General features: G+C 39.5%; 1 protein-coding gene and 1 long non-coding RNA gene across 7 annotated transcripts in view; one reads left to right on the forward strand and one right to left on the reverse strand.

Annotated features, from left to right (window-relative positions):
• The window catches only part of ANO6 (anoctamin 6), a 224,310-nt gene that overhangs the window by 155,761 nt on the left and 48,834 nt on the right, over positions 1 to 19,715 (forward strand). For all 6 annotated transcript variants that reach the window (NM_001142679.2, NM_001204803.2, NM_001025356.3 and 3 more), the window contains 3 exons: positions 6,198 to 6,258; positions 16,306 to 16,448; positions 18,566 to 18,643. In NM_001142679.2, coding sequence (NP_001136151.1) covers positions 6,198 to 6,258; positions 16,306 to 16,448; positions 18,566 to 18,643 — 282 coding nt within the window. The remainder of the gene's footprint in view (positions 1 to 6,197; positions 6,259 to 16,305; positions 16,449 to 18,565; positions 18,644 to 19,715) is intronic.
• Positions 18,837 to 19,715, reverse strand: part of LOC105369743 (uncharacterized) — a 178,153-nt gene continuing 177,274 nt past the window's right edge. The window contains exon 7 of the long non-coding RNA XR_944886.3: positions 18,837 to 18,913. This is a non-coding gene — a long non-coding RNA (uncharacterized LOC105369743). The remainder of the gene's footprint in view (positions 18,914 to 19,715) is intronic.

Genomic DNA, 19,715 nt, shown 5'->3' on the forward strand with positions numbered 1-19,715 from the left:
ATGGAGAATGACTTTGACGAGCTGAGAGAAGAAGGCTTCAGACGATCAAATTACTCTGAGCTACGGGAGGACATTCAAACCAAAGGCAAAGAAGTTGAAAACTTTGAAAAAAGTTTAGAAGAATGTATAACTAGAATAACCAATACAGAGAAGTGCTTAAAGGAGCTGATGGAGCTGAAAGCCAAGGCTCGAGAACTACGTGAAGAATGCAGAAGCCTCAGGAGCTGATGCGATCAACTGGAAGAAAGGGTATCAGCAATGGAAGATGAAATGAATGAAATGAAAGGAGAAGGGAAGTTTAGAGAAAAGAGAATAAAAAGAAATGAGCAAAGCCTCCAAGAAATATGGGACTATGTGAAAAGACCAAATCTACGTCTGATTGGTGTACCTGAAAGTGATGGGGAGAATGGAACCAAGTTGGAAAACACTCTGCAGGATATTATCCAGGAGAACTTCCCCAATCTAGCAAGGCAGGCCAACGTTCAGATTCAGGAAATACAGAGAATGCCACAAAGATACTCCTCGAGAAGAGCAACTCCAAGACACATAATTGTCAGATTCACCAAAGTTGAAATGAAGGAAAAAATGTGAAGGGCAGCCAGAGAGAAAGGTCGGGTTACCCTCAAAGGGAAGCCCATCAGACTAACAGCGGATCTCTCGGCAGAAACCCTACAAGCCAGAAGAGAGTGGGGGCCAATATTCAACATTCTTAAAGAAAAGAATTTTCAACCCAGAATTTCATATCCAGCCAAACTAAGCTTCATAAGTGAAGGAGAAATAAAATCCTTTACAGACAAGCAAATGCTGAGAGATTTTGTCACCACCAGGCCTGCCCTAAAAGAGCTCCTGAAGGAAGCACTAAACATGGAAAGGAACAACCAGTACCAGGCGCTGCAAAATCATGCCAAAATGTAAAGACCATAGAGACTAGGAAGAAACTGCATCAACTAAAGAGCAAAATCACCAGCTAACATCATCATGACAGGATCAAATTCACACATAACAATATTAACTTTAAATGTCAATGGACTAAATGCTCCAGTTAAAAGACACAGACTGGCAAATTGGATAAAGAGTCAAGACCCATCAGTGTGCTGTATTCAGGAAACCCATCTCATGTGCAGAGACACACATAGGTTCAAAATAAAAGGATGGAGGAAGATCTACCAAGCAAATGGAAAACAGAAAAAGGCAGGGGTTGCAATCCTAGTCTCTGATAAAACAGACTTTAAACCAACAAAGATCAAAAGAGACAAAGAAGGCCATTACATAATGGTAAAGGGATCAATTCAACAAGAAGAGCTAACTATCCTAAATATATATGCACCCAGTACAGGAGCACCCAGATCATAAAGCAAGTCCTGAGTGACCTACAAAGAGACTTAGACACCCACACATTAATAATGGGAGACTTTAACACCCCACTGTCAACATTAGACAGATCAATGAGACAGAAAGTCAACAAGGATACCCAGGAATTGAACTCAGCTCTGCACCAAGCAGACCTAATAGACATCTACAGAATTCTCCACCCCAAATCAACAGGATATACATTTTTTTCAGCACCACACCACACCTATTCCAAAATTGACCACATACTTGGAAATAAAGCTCTCCTCAGCGAATGTAAAAGAACAGAAATTATAACAAACTATCTCTCAGACCACAGTGCAATAAAACTAGAACTCAGGATTAAGAAACTCACTCAAAACCGCTCAACTACATGGAAACTGAACAACCTGCTCCTGAATGACTACTGGGTACATAACGAAATGAAGGCAGAAATAAAGATGTTCTTTGAAACCAATGAGAACAAAGACACAACATACCGGAATCTCTGGGACACATTCAAAGCAGTGTATAGAGGGAAATTTATAGCACTAAATGCCCACAAGAGAAAGCAGGAAAGATCCAAAATTGACACCCTAACATCACAATTAAAAGAACTGGAAAAGCAAGAGCAAACACATTCAAAAGCTAGCAGAAGGCAAGAAATAACTAAAATCAGAGCAGAACTGAAGGAAATAGAGACAGAAAAAACCCTTCAAAAAATTAATGAATCCAGGAGCATGTTTTTTGAAAGATCAACAAAATAGATAGACCACTAGCAAGACTAATAAAGAGAGAAGAATCAAAGAGACGCAATAAAAAATGATAAAGGGGATATCACCGCCGATCCCACAGAAATACAAACTACCATCAGAGAATACTACAAACACCTCTATGCAAATAAACTAGAAAATCTAGAAGAAATGGATAAATTCCTCGACACATACACTCTCCCAAGACTAAACCAGGAAGAAGTTGAATCTCTGAATAGACCAATAACAGGATCTGAAATTGTGGCAATAATCAATAGCTTACCAACCAAAAAGAGTCCAGGACCAGATGGATTCACAGCCGAATTCTACCAGAGGTACAAGGAGGAACTGGTACCATTCCTTCTGAAACTATTCCAATCAATAGAAAAAGAGGGAATCCTCCCTAACTCATTTTATGAGGCCAGCATCATTCTGATACCAAAGCTGGGCAGAGACACAACCAAAAAAGAGAATTTTAGACCAATATCCTTGATGAACATTGATGCAAAAATCCTCAATAAAATACTGGCAAACCAAATCCAGCAGCACATCAAAAAGCTTATCCACCATGATCAAGTGGGCTTCATCCCTGGGATGCAAGGCTGGTTCAATATACGCAAATCAATAAATGTAATCCAGCATATAAACAGAGCCAAAGACAAAAACCACATGATTATCTCAATAGATGCAGAAAAGGCCTTTGACAAAATTCAACAACCCTTCATGCTAAAAACTCTCAATAAATTAGGTATTGATGGGACGTATTTCAAAATAATAAGAGCTATCTATGACAAACCCACAGCCAATATCATACTGAATGGGCAAAAACTGGAAGCATTCCCTTTGAAAACTGACACAAGACAGGGATGCCCTGTCTCACCACTCCTATTCAACATAGTGTTGGAAGTTCTGGCCAGGGCAATTTGGCAGGAGAAAGAAATAAAGGGTATTCAATTAGGAAAAGAGGAAGTCAAATTGTCCCTGTTTGCAGACGACATGATTGTATATCTAGAAAACCCCATTGTCTCAGCCCAAAATCTCCTTAAGCTGATAAGCAACTTCAGCAAAGTCTCAGGATACAAAATCAATGTACAAAAATCACAAGCATTCTTATACACCAACAACATACAAACAGAGAGCCAAATCATGAGTGAACTCCCATTCACAATTGCTTCAAAGAGAATAAAATACCTAGGAATCCAACTTACAAGAGATGTGAAGGACCTCTTCAGGAAGAACTACAAACCACTGCTCAAGGAAATAAAAGAGGATACAAACAAATGGAAGAACATTCCATGCTCATTGGTAGGAAGAATCAATATCGTGAAAATGGCCATACTTCCCAAGGTAATTTGCAGATTCAATGCCATCCCCATCAAGCTACCAATGCCTTTCTTCACAGAATTGGAAAAAACTACTTTAAAGTTCATATGGAACCAAAAAAGAGCCCGCATAGCCAAGTCATTCCTAAGCCAAAAGAACAAAGCTGGAGGCATCACATTACCTGACTTCAAACTATACTACAAGGCTACAGTAACCAAAACAGCATGGTACTGGTACCAAAACAGAGATATAGATCAATGGAACAGAACAGAGCCCTCAGAAATAACGCCACATATCTACAACCATCTGATCTTTGACAAACCTGACAAAAACAAGCAATGGGGAAAGGATTCCCTATTTAATAAATGGTGCTGGGAAAACTGGCTAGCCATATGTAGAAAGCTGAAACTGGATCCCTTCCTTACACCTTTTACAAAAATCAATTCAAGATGGATTAAAGACTTAAACGTTAGACCTAAAACCATAAAAACCCTAGAAGAAAACCTAGGCAATACCATTCAGGACATAGGCATGGGCAAGGACTTCATGTCTAAAACACCAAAAGCAATGGCAACAAAAGCCAAAATTGACAAATGGGATCTAATTAAACTAAAGGGCTTCTGCACAGCAAAAGAAACTACCATCAGAGTGAACAGGCAACCTACAGAATGGGAGAAAATTTTCGCAACCTACTCATCTGACAAAGGGCTAATATCCAGAATCTACAATGAACTCAAACAAATTTACAAGAAAAAAACAACCCCATCAAAAAGTGGGTGAAGGATATGAACAGACACTTCTCAAAAGAAGACATTTATGCAGCCAAAAGACACATGAAAAAATGCTCATCATCACTGGCCATCAGAGAAATGCAAATCAAAACCACAGTGAGATGCCATCTCACACCAGTTAGAATGGCAATCATTAAAAAGTCAGGAAACAACAGGTGCTGGAGAGGATGTGGAGAAATAGGAACACTTTTACACTGTTGGTGGGACTGTAAACTAGTTCAACCATTGTGGAAGTCAGTGTGGCGATTCCTCAGGGATCTAGAACTAGAAATACCATTTGACCCAGCCATCCCATTACTGGGTATATACCCAAAGGATTATAAATCATGCTGCTATAAAGACACATGCACACGTATGTTTATTGCGGCATTATTCACAATAGCAAAGACTTGGAACCAACCCAAATGTCCAACAATGATAGACTGGATTAAGAAAATGTGGCACATATACACCATGGAATACTATGCAGCCATAAAAAATGATGAGTTCATGTCCTTTGTAGGGACATGGATGAAATTGGAAATCATCATTCTCAGTAAACTATCGCAAGAACAAAAAACCAAACACCGCATATTCTCACTCATAGGTAGGAATTGAACAATGAGATCACATGGACACAGGAAGGGGAACATCACACTCTGGGGACTGTTGTGGGATGGGGGGAGGGGGGAGGGATAGCATTGGGAGGTATACCTAATGCTAGATGATGAGTTAGTGGGTGCAGCGCACCAACATGGCACATGTATACATATGTAACTAACCTGAACAATGTGCACATGTACCCTAAAACTTAAAGTATAATAATAAAAGAAAAAAAAAGAATATTGAAAAAAAAAAAGAAGAAGAATGATTGGATGACAGACAATTTAGGATTATGCTTGCTTTCTCATCACAATCAATGTGGACGATTGAGGGGGCCTTGAAAATTAGATGGATGAGAATGTCGCTATTCTTTTATGAAGATAACTAATATTTTTACATAGATGAAGGTTTATCCACTTTACATGAGTATGAAGAGCAACCCAAAAAATCACCTAAAGCAGACTTTTCTACTTTGAAGCAGCTTTGAATTTTCTTTCAGCATTTGAAAAGGTTTTTTTTTTTTTTACCTATAGCTTTTCTACCCAGTCCCTGTCCTTTTATATTATCTGTCATAAAGTAGATATAATATGCTTGTCACTTTTTCCATTATCTTTATAGTAATTTTTAGGAAATGTAAAAATGCTCACTAATGAAAAATTAGTAACGAATTAAAATATTTTCCAGGAACTCATAGAGGGAGATAGGCTACATATATAATAGCAAAAGGATAAAACTTAGCAGAACTAGTAAATAAAGCCTTATTTGGCCAGATACGTTATTTATCATTCATGATCATTGTATTCATTGTAATGTTAGCAAAAGCACCTCTGCATCCTTTATTCCAATAGAAGCATCTGTCAGTGATGGTAGAAAAGCCATCATTGGGTTTAAGAAAACAGAGTTCTCCTGGAGGAGAGCCACTTCGAGATAAACCTCAGCTTTGTACGTCTCTTAACAGGAAAAACAGGAATTCTGAAACTTACCCTCTGACCAGGGTGGGATGATGATAAAATGTAAATCATATATCTAAAAGTTGCTTAGGGATCATTGTATTTGTAGATCCATACTGCTTCCTCAAATCCATTATGACAGCTCATAAGAGGCTGTTATTCAAGCCCAATGGAGGCTTTAAACACAGTGGAATTCTAGGAACTATACCTGTTTCCTTATTGGGATATGCAGAGTTTCACTGGAAAATACACTGGTTAATACAGCAAAGACTTTGCTTTGAAAAGAATCAAATTTCATCTATAAGTATGTAGTGGATACATTGAATGATGTATGATCATAGATGATTGTTAAACTAGGCATCACCTTTGAAAAGAACTTCAAGACTGTAGAATAGACAAAGCATTTCATATTTACTGAATCCTAATAAGTGGAGGATATGACTCATTTATATGTCATTTATATTTTCCAGAAATTGTGCATCTTCGACAGTTTTGGAACCCTGGTCTTTGCAGTATTTATGGGAGTATGGGGTAAGTTTTTTTTTTTTTTTTCATGCACTCAATTTGATAGTATTACACAGTTTTATGTAGGCTATCAAAGTAACCCACTTTTAGGATCTTGTATTGCCCAGGCTTCAACTCCCCTAGAATTCCATTTATAACTGAGGGCATTTATCAGTTAACTTTTACTATATTAAAATCTGCATCAAAATATAGTGGCTTAAAACAACAAACTTTATTTCTCATGTTTATTATTTCTCATCATTCTCTGGGTCAGCTGAGAGTTCTTCAGGCATGGGTTGGCTCAGCTGACTCTCCAGTAAGCTGGCAGCTCCACTGGGGATAGATGATCTTGCAACTAGAAACCCGGTTTGGTCTGTGGGGCTCGGCTGGGAAGGCTTCTCTGCTCCACATGGTGTCTCATCTTCAAGTAGGCTAGCCCAGGAGTCTTGGTTTCAGGGTTCCAAAGAGAAGAGAGGACAAGCTTCAGTGCATATGCATTTTTAAGCCTATTGTTGCACCAAGTTAGCTAATGTCCCATCAACCAAAGTAAGTCATATGGCCAAACCAGCATCAATGTGGGGCGGTGGGAGTACTACCCAGTGGCTTGGATGTAGGAGGCATGATTTGTTGGAAGCCATTATTGCAACAGCCCTCACAGTGTGATACAACCTAACTTTTATGGGGGTGGAGATCAGGAGGAAGCAGCAACACAGTGATTATGGGTGAGCTTTCTTTCTCATACACTTCTATGTGAGCGGATATTTAATGAGTATCTGCTACTCGTATAATAACAACAAACTCTACTTACTAACTAGAACAGATATAATTCTACAGGATCTAATTCCCATATGGGAACTTTACCACTATATATTATTTACTTTGGGATAGAATCATTAATACAATGAGGCAATTATCATTTTCTTTAAATGCAAACTTTAAATGTTTAATTGATCTGAATGTTCTAACGTAGAAGAAAAATTTCCATTTTCAAAATTAGATGCATTTCCAATTTCATTGTGTAAGTATGAGGAACAACAGAATTCAGGTTATAGGAAGGCAGAGGAAAAAACTGAACCAAGTTTCTTATTCTTTAAAAGACAACACGTCAATGTGTGTAACTCACAGAATCAGTTATTTACGGTGTCCTCAGCAGTATTTCTGTTTGGTAGTGATTGTGCCTATGAAGAATTACCAAATGGATCACAGAACAGACAATCCAGTTATTTTGCTCACTTTTTAGAGATATTTGTTGCCGCTCCACAGATAAAGTGCACTGTAAGGTGGCCAAACATCCCAGTCAGTTACATTGGCATTCAGCCATTTAGCATGTTTTGGCTGGAGACCAAACTCTGACTAATATTTGACCCATAGAAGAATAAAGATTGAATGTATGTATTAAGATCCTCTGTGCTCCTCCATTGTAATACACCTTTCTCCGCCCTCCCCTTCCGCCCAGTAAGAGCTTAGGTGCTGAACACATGGGTCAGCATTTTAACTATTAACCGTACTCTCAGCGTTGAATCATAATGTATAACATTCTAACACATCTACTAAACTGCATATACTAATGGATGCTGATAGCCCCAATTAAAGAAGACATTTGAAATAAAGCAAAAAATGTTAATTTTGACACTAGAAAGACAAGCCTCAAATTTACTAGCTAACCTTCCTTTCTCTGATCATTAACTACACCATGGTTATAGAACTGACTTACACATTAGCTGCTGATTTTATCTGATTTTTGAATGCAGAAAGTATTTCAGCACTGCCTATAGCATCGTATGTATATTTTTAAGGATATGTATGATAAACTTTAAGTGCTTTGTGTGGCTTTCCTTGTTACTTCTGCTTTGAGAACTACTGCTGTGAACCACTTTACAGAAAGTTTGAAATTGCAGAACCAAACAGGCTACAGCCTCTTGTGAAGTTATTCATATCACCACCATTATGTTCCTGCAGCATCTTTTTTGTGCCCAGACGCATATGGCACTTATTTTTCTGCTCCCTAGAAATTATGAAAGTTGAGAGTAGAAAACCTTTTGTAATCAATATAATATAAATCATATACGTACCTTAAAAATGTCCATCCTTTCAGGACAAGGCAGCCCACCTGTTCATACTGATTCATAGAGTCCTAAACACCAACCCATGGTTGAAGTAAAGGTTCTAAACACATCCTGCCCACTCCCTTCCTTGTTGCATCTTGCCTACTTACACCTGATTCTCCCTGGATCAGACTTGGCTGCATGACTGCAATGTTTAATTTTCACCTTTGAGGGGTGAGTTCTAAACTAGGCCTACTTATTTCCAGAAAACCACCAGTCATCTGGCTCACTAAGGATCTGGGGAACCAGGAAGCCTAACTAGCTGCACTTGGGGATCAGAAAACAGCTGCTGTGACTGTTACTTTCAGACCTGTGCTGCTTCTGCTAGGTCCACACCAGCAAAATAATGCATCTCCTGCTACCACCACCCTGACTCTGTTCAGCCCAGTTTCTGACTTAAGTGACATACAGATGCTTCTGAGAGGCATTTTAAAAAATCAGATCTGGAACCCTAGCTGCAAGAGAGTTTCTAGCCCTTGAATTAGGAGGTTGGAATAAACGGCTGGGTGTGGTGGCTCACGCCTGCAATCCCAGCACTGTGGGAGGCTGAGGCAGGTGGATCACTGAGGTCAGGAGTTTGAAACCAGCCTGGCCAACATGGTGAAACCTCGCCTCTACTAAAATACAAAAATTAGCCAGGTGTGATGGTGCACACCTGTAATCCCAACTGGAGGCTGAGGCACAAGAATTGCTTGAATCCAGGAGGCAGAGTTTGCAGTGAGCCGAGATCACACTACTGCACTCCAGCCTGAGCGACAGAGTAAGACTCCATCTTAAAAAAAAAGTTGCAATAAAGGCTGAGGAAGTTAATCTAACTTCTCTGCCTCTGTGGGTTACGAGGCCTAAATGGTTTCAAGGCGTTAAAACATCCTAGACCTTCAGCAGCAAACTCTTACAGCAACCAGAACATTCCCATCTACCAGAGTGTGTCTCATCCTTAGACAATGCAGGATATAACACCATAACACTTTACTGCTCTGAAACCTTTTTATGTATATGTGCATCTTCTTCATCTGATGCATATTTTGTTTAGATACAGTAATATCCTGATTAAGAGGAAGAGCTGTTATTGATCCCCAAGTTCCAGACAACCTTTCTCTTTTCTTATTATATGTTGATGTAAGAGTTTTAACTGTGCCTAATCAGCTAGCACCTCTGGATTGCCAGAGAACAGAAGTGTGTTGCTCCCTGCTGAAGTTCTATCAGTTGTCTTATTGCAGGGGGAGAGAGCAAAAGATACGGAACAGAAATTTCTGTCTGTGATCATGCACGGTCACCCCAGGGCTTGGTGCCCTCAATCTGGGACACACAGCATTGTGAGTCAGCACTGGCGTGGCCCAGGAGTACTCCAAAACACTGGATGACTACTAGGTTAGCAGTGCCTTCCATAGACCCTGCAGAATCTGTGGCTGAGTGAAATAAGGAACTAAAACACTCACCTGTCGCTGCAATTCCCAGGGGTTTTCCTTCAAGGCTGAGGATTTGCTAACACCAGACTATGTCTTGCTTGCATTGCAATCCTATCACTTCCCAGGCAGAACTGCTTCCTATAGTTCAGAATTTCGTAAACAGAAGCATTTTACCCAGTATGTTCAAATTCAGGGAGGAGGGAAGAGGACATCCACTGTTCTTCCCTTATAGCACCGACTAGAGTTGCTTATGTTACTCTTTGTGAGAAAAGTTAAGAATATTATCATGAATTATCTCCTGTTGATACCTTATAGATACTGAGATAGATACTAGATAGGTACTGAGTAAATGAGTGGCTATCACACTCCGATTTTAAAGATGAAGAAGATGACACTCAGGAAGATTAAGCCAATTACCTAAAGCCCCACAGACAGAAAGTGACAAGCATAGAATAAGAGTTCTGCCAATAATTTGGCTATTATCAGTCTTTAGATTGATGACAAAATACAGTGTATATTAATGAAGTTGCAGCAAGCTTTGAGAAAGATGCAGAAATAATTTGGTTTTTACTGACATAATTGCATTATTTTTGGTGCTGTGAAAAAAATGAGAATGGGTTAGAAAATGTCAGTTTAGTCTCCTTGGTTCTACCTCATGTGACACAGGTGCAGACCCTTCTTTCTATCGGAAAAATAAGAAACCACCCATCTTCCAGCCTAATTTTAACAGGCTTATAAGTACCAGTTTTTCATTTATGCCTGTAGGTGTCAAAGTGCAACAAGATTTTAATGTGCTTAGTCACAACATACTTTAAAAAATGGTTATGCTGGAAGAGTATGTTTGCAGTCTGTAAGGTAGAAGAGTACCCATGATAATTCCTTCAGCATGTTGACCCTGGACTCCTCCCCACAGTCAAGGTGCTAAAGCTTGATCTCACCAGTAAACTGTCAATGCTTCATGGTATATTCTCCATCTAGGGTTATCCTGGCCTCTTGCTAGGTACAGGACTACCTCAGAGATACTGTGGGTAAGGTTCCAGACCACCACAAGAAAGCGAGTATCACAGTAAAGGGAGCCACACAAATTTTTGTTTCTCAGTGCATATAAAAGTTATGGTTATACTATACTATAGTCTAGTGAGTGTGCATAGCATTTGTCAAAAAATGTACATACCTTAATTAAAAAATACTTTATTACTACAAATGCTGACAATCATCTGAGCCTTTAGAGAGTGTTAATCTTTTTGCTGTGAGAGGGTCTTGCCTCGATGTTGATGGCTGCTGACTGATTAGGTAGGAGGATGGTTGCTGAAGGTTTAGGTAGCTATGCAAATTTCTTAAAATAAGACAACAATGAAGTTTGCCACATCAGTGGACTCTTTTTTCACAAAAGAGTTCTCTAGCATGTGATACTGTGTGGTAGCATTTTACCCATAGTAGAACTTCTTTGAAAATTGGAGTCAATCCTCTCAAACCCTACTACAGCTTTATCTACTAAGTTTGTGTGATATTCTAAATCCTTTGTTGTCGTTTCAGTAATGACAGCATCTTCACCAGGAGTAGATTCCATCTCAAGAAACCACTTTCTTTGCAGATCCATAGAAAGCAACTTCTCATTCCTTCAAGTTTGATCATGAGACTACAGCAGTTCAGTCACATCTTCAGACTCCATTTCTAGTTCTTCTTGCTCTTTCTACCACATCTGCAGTGACTTCCTCCACTGAAGTCTTGAACTTCTCAAAGTCATCCATGAGGGTTAGAATCAACGTCTTCTAAACTTCTGTTAATGTTGACATCTTCACCTCCTCCCATGAATTATAAATGTCCTTAATGACATCTAGAATGGTGAATCTTTTCCAGAAGATTTCTGCTTATTTTGCCAACATCTAGCCAAATAATTACTATCTATGGCAGCTGTGGCCTTACTAAATGTATTTCTTAAATAATAAAATGTAAAAGGACTCCTTGATCTATGGGCTGCAGAACGGATGTTGTGTTCATAGCCATGAAAACAATATTAATCTCTGTACATCTCCATCAGAGTTCTTGGGTGAGTGGATGCATTGCCAATGAGCAGTAATTTTTTTAAAAGAGTAATTTTTTATGAACAATGGGCTTAAAATAATTCAACACACCATGTTATAAACAGATGTGCTTGTCATCTAGGCTCTATTGTTCCATTTAGATTACAGGCAGAGTAGATTTCACATAATTCTTAAAGGCCCTAGGGTTTTTGGAATGATCTAAGAGCGTTGGCTTCAACATGAAGTCACCAGCTGCATTAGCCCCTAACAAGAGAGTGAGCCTGTCCTTAGAAGTTCTGAAGCCAGGCGTTGACTTCTCTCTAGCTGTGAAAGTCCCAGATGACATCTTCTTCCAATGGGAGGCTATTTCATCTACCTTGAAAGTCTGTTGTGTGGCTACCTTCATCAATGATCTTAGCTAGATCTTCTGAATAACTTGCTGCCAGTTAGCACTTGCTACTTCACCTTGCACTTCTATGCTATGGAGATGATTTCTTTCCTTAAACCTCATGAACCAACCTCTGCTAGCTTCAAACTTTTCTTCTGCAGCTTCCTCACCTCTCTCAGCCTTCATAGAGTGGAAGGGGGTTCTGGCCTTGCTCTGAATTAGGCTTTGGTCTAAGGGAATATTGTGGCTGGTTTGGTCTTCTATCCAGATCATTAAAACTTTCTCCGTATCAGCAATAAGGTTGTTTCACTTTTTTGTCATTTGTGTGTTCACTGGAGTAGTACTTTTCATATCCTTCAAGAACTTTTCCTTTGCACTCACAGCTTGGCAAACTGGCACAAGAGGCCTAGCTTTCGATATGCCTTCCTCACTAAACTTAGTAATTTCTAGTTTTCATTTAAAGTGAGAGATGTGTGAGTCTTGCTTTCACTTGAACACCTTGAAGCCATTGTAGGGTTATTAATTGGCCTAATTTCACTACTGTTGCATCTCAAAGAATAGAGAGGCCAGAAGAGAGGCAGAGAGATGGGGAAGCAGCCAGTCAGTGGAATGGTCAGACCACACACATTTGTTAATTTTGCTGTCTTACATAGGTGGACTTCATGTTGCCCCAAAACAATTACAATAGTAACATCAAAGAAAGATCACTTATCACAGACCACTATAAAAGATACAATAATAATGAAAAATTTGAAATGTGAGAATTACTAAAATGTGACACAAAGTGGGTACATGTTGTTGGAAAAATGGCATTGATAGAGGCTCAACGTGGGGTTGCCACAAACAATCAATTTGTAAGAAGATAAAAACACTATCTGTAAAGCACGATAAATCAAGGTACATCTGTACAGGAGGTACTGAAGGCCCAAGTAGACTAGCATAGCAGGAAGTAAGGACAGTGGGTGGTTATGTGTAGAGGTGAGCAGTTGGAGTCAGCTGGGACCTCTGAGTGGATTATTCCCCAGGTGGTGGGGGTCCTCCAGTTTCTGGGTGGTTTCCTTCAGTTTGTTCATTCAGTGCATTCATTCGTTACATGCCTACTATGTCGTAGTGCTTCTGCTATGAACAAAACCAAATCCCTGCACATGTGAAGGTGACATTCCAGTGGGTATGATAGACAGTAGACCTAGAAGCAGATATAGGTTGGGATGCATGAGTGCTATGTATTAATATTTTGAAGGGCAGAAGAAGGGTTGACAAAGGGAATAAAATGGGCCCTTTCTGAGAGAATGCACATGACCGCTGGAATGATTGCATAATTACAGAGTGGGAGACAGAGCTGAGGGAGCTTCAGGGGTGGGGGCATATGCAATACTGGCAGTAGGATTCTTGGTAGATTAAAAAGTAGAGTCCTCTGTTGATGGAGATGTATGGGAGTTTATCAAGGGGATGCAGAACCTTGGGCTTTGGTAAGTGGGTGGTGTATGTTATGCTGCTTCATATGCAGCCTAGGGAGGGTTGGCTCATGGGTGGCTCATTCCTCCCAACAGGGTCTCTTTGGGGAGTATCTGCCACCTGAGACCAGCATGGCTCAGCTGGGCACCAAGACCAGCCAGTCACATGTCAGTCCACAAAAGGACATGGTGCCCTCTAGATTTCCATCCCATTGACAAAGAAGCCAATACTCACTTCATTTCCCCTTGGGCAGGTACAGAAGCACAAATGTCTGGGTTGTTTCTCAGTAGCCATCACCCTCTATATAAAACACTCAACAATTTGATCCTGATTCCAACATCCAGGTTATTTCTACTCTAACTTACTGGAAAAGTAGTAGTCAAAACAAACACTGCTAGGAAGTGAGTGCTTTTAAACATGTTCAGTTGTCTTTGCCATTGGGGAGTGTTGGATTCTTGCTCCTTACAGGTGCATCCCAAGACTGCCTCCTGCATTTCAGGCTGCCTGCTGCAGGGTCTGCAGGATTTCATTCTGGCTCTCTTCACTCTCTACTTCAGTGAGTCTCCACCCTGACTGCGTATTAAACCTTAAAAACAAAACAAAACAAAAACAAACAAAACAACTATGCTCAGGCCCCATTCCAGACCAAAAATCATAATTTATAATTTACAGGGTGGTACCTGGGCTCAGTATTTTGTAAAAGCTCCCTGGTCCTTCTTACCTGCAGCCAGGGTGTGATTACTACCCTGCATCTCATTTAATGGTCTTATTCTCTCATGGCCCCAATTGCCACTTAAAACAATGAAAATCCATCTCAATCCAGATCTTCCTCCTATGTTGTAGACTTTTACCTATCTACTGGACATTTCTTCTTGAGTAGTCCACATACATTGCATCTGATCATAACCAAACCAGGTGTCTCCTCTTGCACACTTGACCTTCTTAAGACACTTCCTATTTCCAAGGAATGCCACTAGAATTTAGGATATTGCCTAAGTCAGAAACCTGGCTAGCATCCTTCTGTCATACCTGCATCCATCTGTCATACCTGCATCCATCCGTCTGCCTTCTCAACGTCCCTCAAGGATCTTGCTGCATCATGTACCTGCCAGCAGGTCTCCCTGCCCCTAGTCTCACTCTAGACTACCTTCAAAGTCTCCTCCATCTGTACGTTAAACTCTCTAAACTCCTTTCAAAGCACAGAAAACCCTTTGTGATGTGCCCCTGCAGAGCTCTTACCTGGCTGCCCCACCTCCATCACACCTTTCACTTACTACCAGATTATTTGCAGTTTTGGGAAAGTACCTGGCCCTCTGGCCTCCGTGCCTTTGCATGCGCAGCTCCCTGGGGGTAGGTGGCCTTAGTGTTCCACCCACCACCACCTTCACCTGATCAGCTCTGAGGCATCTCAGGACTCATCACTGTGGTCCCCTCCTCTGGGATGGCCTTCCCCGAAACACCCAGTTAAATGTTCTGGTTCTGTGTGCCCAGAGCAACCTGTGCTTACCTTTATCATAGCCCTCTTAATAATCAACTATACCTGTCAGTTCAAGGACAGCATAATTCTCATATGCCTAGGAGCTCCTTGAAGCAGGGACTGTGTCTTGTTTTCTCTTTATTCCCAGCTGATAGTAGACACTCAAAGAATGTTTGTAAATAGAAGAGTGGTGATTACAGAATTTTTTTATAGGAAGGACTTAGGGTTCGCAGTCTGATTAGAAGAAGGGCATGGGGTATTTACCCTGAAACTGCATTTTTTCAATTAACATTTAATGTTTTTATTTACTATTTAAAGTTAAAAATTCTGAAAAATGATTCCTAAAAAATTATTTTAGTCATACATTATATAAGATTGAGAAAAATACTAGTTTTCCGTATGAATGAATATTAATTTATTTGGGACATCCTAAAGTATTCCTCTTCCCCTGTAGGCCCTTAGGAAGGAAAGGAGAGTACAAGAATGAGGGCACGGGGAAAAGCAGATGAAGGATGGATCATGAGCTCCTTTGGAACTGTGATCATTATTTGTGTTTTAGTTGGCAATAAGGTGCTGGAACATATGCTTCAGTGTCAGACATACTCACATGTCTTCTGACCATCACATTGCCTTTCCCAGCATCTATAGTCTATTTCATAATGTTGTAAATTACCAACATTTTTCTTTAAAATCATGTTTTTCCCTTTTAAATAGTAGTATCTCCTATAATTTAGATTTGATTTGCCATATACAAAAGTATTATGGATGATATGGTTTGGCTCTGTGTCCCCACCCAAATCTCATGTCGAATTATAATCCCCATGTGTCAGGGGAGGGGCCTGGTGGGAGGTGATTGGATCATGGGGTTGGATTTCCCCCATCCTGTTCTCATGATAGTGAGTGAGTTCTCATGAGATCTGATGGTTTAAAGCTGTGGCACTTTCCTCCGTGCTCTCTCTCTCCTATTGCCATGTAAGACGTGTTTTGCTTTCCCTTCACCTTACACCATGATTTTAAGTTTCCTGAGGCCTCCCCAGCCATGCAGAACTGTGAGTCAATTAAACCTCTTTCCTTTATGAATTACCCAGTCCAGGTAGTTCTTTATAGCAGTGTGAAAACAGGCCAGTACAATGGATAATTAATATTATTCAGTACAGATTTCTGAAACATCAGTCATCATTGAAAATCCACACAAGCTCTTCTGTCTCTCTGTTAGTTACCTTGTTTTTGGAGTTTTGGAAGCGACGCCAGGCAGAACTTGAGTATGAATGGGATACTGTTGAGTTACAGCAGGAAGAACAAGCCCGACCAGAATACGAAGCACGATGTACTCACGTAGTGATAAATGAGATTACTCAGGTAAGCAGGGTCGTATTTAGGTGCAGTTTAATCTACTTACTGCTGTGGTTCTCCTCCTTGGCCGCACATTAGAATCACTTGGGGGAGCTTAAAAAATATTGATACCTGAGTTCCATCACTACATACTCTGGTACTTAGTAACCTGGGGGTATTCTGAGCACAGGGGTTTTTTTTAAAGCTCCTTTGGTAATTCTGATGTGCAGCCAAAGTGAAGAAGCACTGCTTAGAACAGTAGACACAGGAGATAAATGGGGCCCCTTCTTTCATAAAAACAGTAAAAATACAAAAAAATAATTTTTACTGTGACATAGTGATATAAGGAAAGAGGCACTGGTTTTTATAGTTGATTCTCAATTTTTCACGTATACTTTCATTATTCCAGCCCCTTATTCATCCTAGACCAGCTGCCCCTTTATCTTGCAGTAAGCCTCAGTCACTGCTCCACCTTCTGGTTGGGATGTGCAGAAAATAGTGTGGCCTTTATCCTAAAGTTGGAGAAAGGATGGAGGAAGAAGGAAAGTATTTTTTGAGGTCCAACTCTGTTCAGGTACTGTGCTAGGTATTTTATGTCATTGGAAAGGTAGATTTGCTGCTGCTACCACTACTCCAAAGATAAAAAACTATATTCTGTCTGTATAAATATTCCAAAGTCCCTGAAAGATGATTTTTAAATCATCTGCATTCTTGCTTCTTTCCATCAACACAGAAAACTTTGAGCTGATTGTACTTGCAGTCATCAGCATAAGAACAGTAGGTTCTGAATACGAATAGCTCTTGGAAAGAAAATGCTTTTACCAAGAATGTCTGAAAGTGTTCCCAACTATAGGTTTTATAAATTGAATCACAGATTTACAAAATGTTGGCACTAAAAGGAACCAGAGGGAACAGTTCAACCTCTTCCTTTTACAAATGGGAAAAAACGAGGTTCAATTACCAGTAGAAAGTGACATTTGTCTTTCGCAATGTAAAAGCTTCAAATAATCCCCATTATGAATAGTTCCTGCTGTTTACTAGAGAGGACAGGGTCAAAGCATATGTTGTTGAAAGATTGTATATTCAGAAATGAAAGCCAAAACTTAAACAAAATTAGATGTTTATGAAGTAGTTTGAGCACTAAAAAATCTTATAATACCAGCAACATGGGAAAAATACTGAAGAAAAGACAATTTGGTCATTTAAACCTGCCAATTTTATAGTTAAAATTGCCAGCTTATAAGTTAAATTTCCCTTGAAGTGTTACTTGTTAAAACATTGCAAGTGAAGGTTCCTTTTTCTTTATGGTTATTCCTCGTTTCACTTTCATTGCCCACATACCCTCCCTTTGTTTAGAGAGGCCTATAGTGTGATGGTGAAGTCTCTGATGCCAGAGTTCATGTCTGACCACAGCAACTTACTAGTTGGGTGATCTTGGACCAATTAGTTAACTTCCCGGTGCCTCAGTGACCTCATCTATAAAATGGGAATAATACAGTTGTTTCCTCATGATCGCAGCTAAGGATTGAGTTAATGTATAGAAGCTACTTAGAATAGTGCCTGGCACAGAGTTAAATACTCTTAAGTATTTGCAGCTGTTATTAGGCTGCTCTTACAATACAGGTAAATCATGTAGAGGGTTGATTTCTACTCTTAAGAATTTAAATATATTTTTATGAACTATAAAATGGAAATCCTCTAAAAATTTATTCAAAGTTAATATATAAAGCCCAACCAAGAAACACATAGTGGATACCTAGTATTTGCAGACATCTAGGAAACTTTTTGTCCTGCCTGTGCTCTGCGCTATCATCACAGCGATTTCTAAAACCTAAGACAAGCCCAGAAGTATAGCTTTGCAGCTTGGCACCATCAGACACCCAGATTCCTGAGCTCGGGTCGTGGCCGATAAACAGTTTATTCATGCTTGCATTTTCCAAAAACTTATTAAAATGAACACTGCACATGTTTTGTGATGTGTGACTTTGAAATTGTTAACAAAAAAGTGCAATTATGAGTAAGGAGACTATGCTTGCAAACTAATTTTTTAAAATTAATTCTAAGATTTATTGGCGAGTCAGGAGAAAAATAATTTTATTACAGTAATCCCTTGATTGACTAAACTTTTTTGTTTTTGTAATTAGGAAGAAGAACGCATTCCCTTTACTGCCTGGGGAAAATGTATACGGATAACCCTCTGTGCCAGTGCTGTCTTTTTCTGGGTAATTCTATCACAAAAATGTTTTGAATGATTAAAAATGTTTTTATTATGTAACAGATTTTTTTAATATCTAATTTTAAATGTTGAGGAAACTAAATGCTGAGCCTGGAAACTATATGGTCTCAGAGAGACAGACAGATATTTCCAGATAACTATTTTAGCCACCACATAGAGCAACTCCCAAGGTTCGAGATACCTTATCTGTTCACAGAGGTTCTTCTAGTTCTTTTCACCTCATCTGTTAAATCAGTGATTCAGGATTTTCCAGTTTCTGGTGAAGACCAAATGGAAGGCATTAAGAATTCTAAAATTTTCCAACAGCAACAATCAAAATAAAATGTTGGCCAGGGGCGGTGGCTCATGCCTATAATCCAAGCACCTTGGGAGGCCAAGGTGGGTGGATCACCTGAGGTCAGGAGTCAAGACCAGCCTGGCCAACATGATGAAACCCCGTCACTACTGAAAATACAAAAATTAGCCAGGCAAGGTGTCACACACCTGTAGTCCCAGCTACTCGGGAGGCTGAGGCACGAGAGTCACTTGAACCCAGGAGACGGAGGTTGCAGTGAGTGAAAATCACACCACTGCACTCGACTGGGTAACAGAGCAAGACTCCATCTCAAAAAAAAAATAAATAAAATGTCTAGGAATACCCTTAACAAAAAGATAATAGGAACTATCAAAGAAAACATAAAAACTCTTGAAAGTTGTAAAGGATCTGAATGAATGATAATTAAATGAATGATTCTAGATAGAAACACATTTTCTGTAAAATATCAGTACTTACTAAGTTAGTTTTAGGCTTATTGATGGAATCATATTAGTGATGTAATAATTTAGTGTGAGTTTTAATGGCTCAAGAAGAGCCAGATTCAAGAATAGCACATGAAGCCTAGAAATAGCCCCTGATAGCAATAAAAATGTAATATGTCAGAAAAGAGGCATTATAAATCCATCAGACAAGTGGAGATTATTCAATAAATAGTAATGGAATACTTGTTAGCTATTTGGGGGGACAATAAATGTTAAAGTCTTACTTTAAACCATATACTATAATAAATTTCAAAAACATT

Source organism: Homo sapiens, chromosome 12, assembly GCF_000001405.40.
Source record: "Homo sapiens chromosome 12, GRCh38.p14 Primary Assembly".
Lineage (NCBI taxonomy): Eukaryota > Metazoa > Chordata > Mammalia > Primates > Hominidae > Homo > Homo sapiens.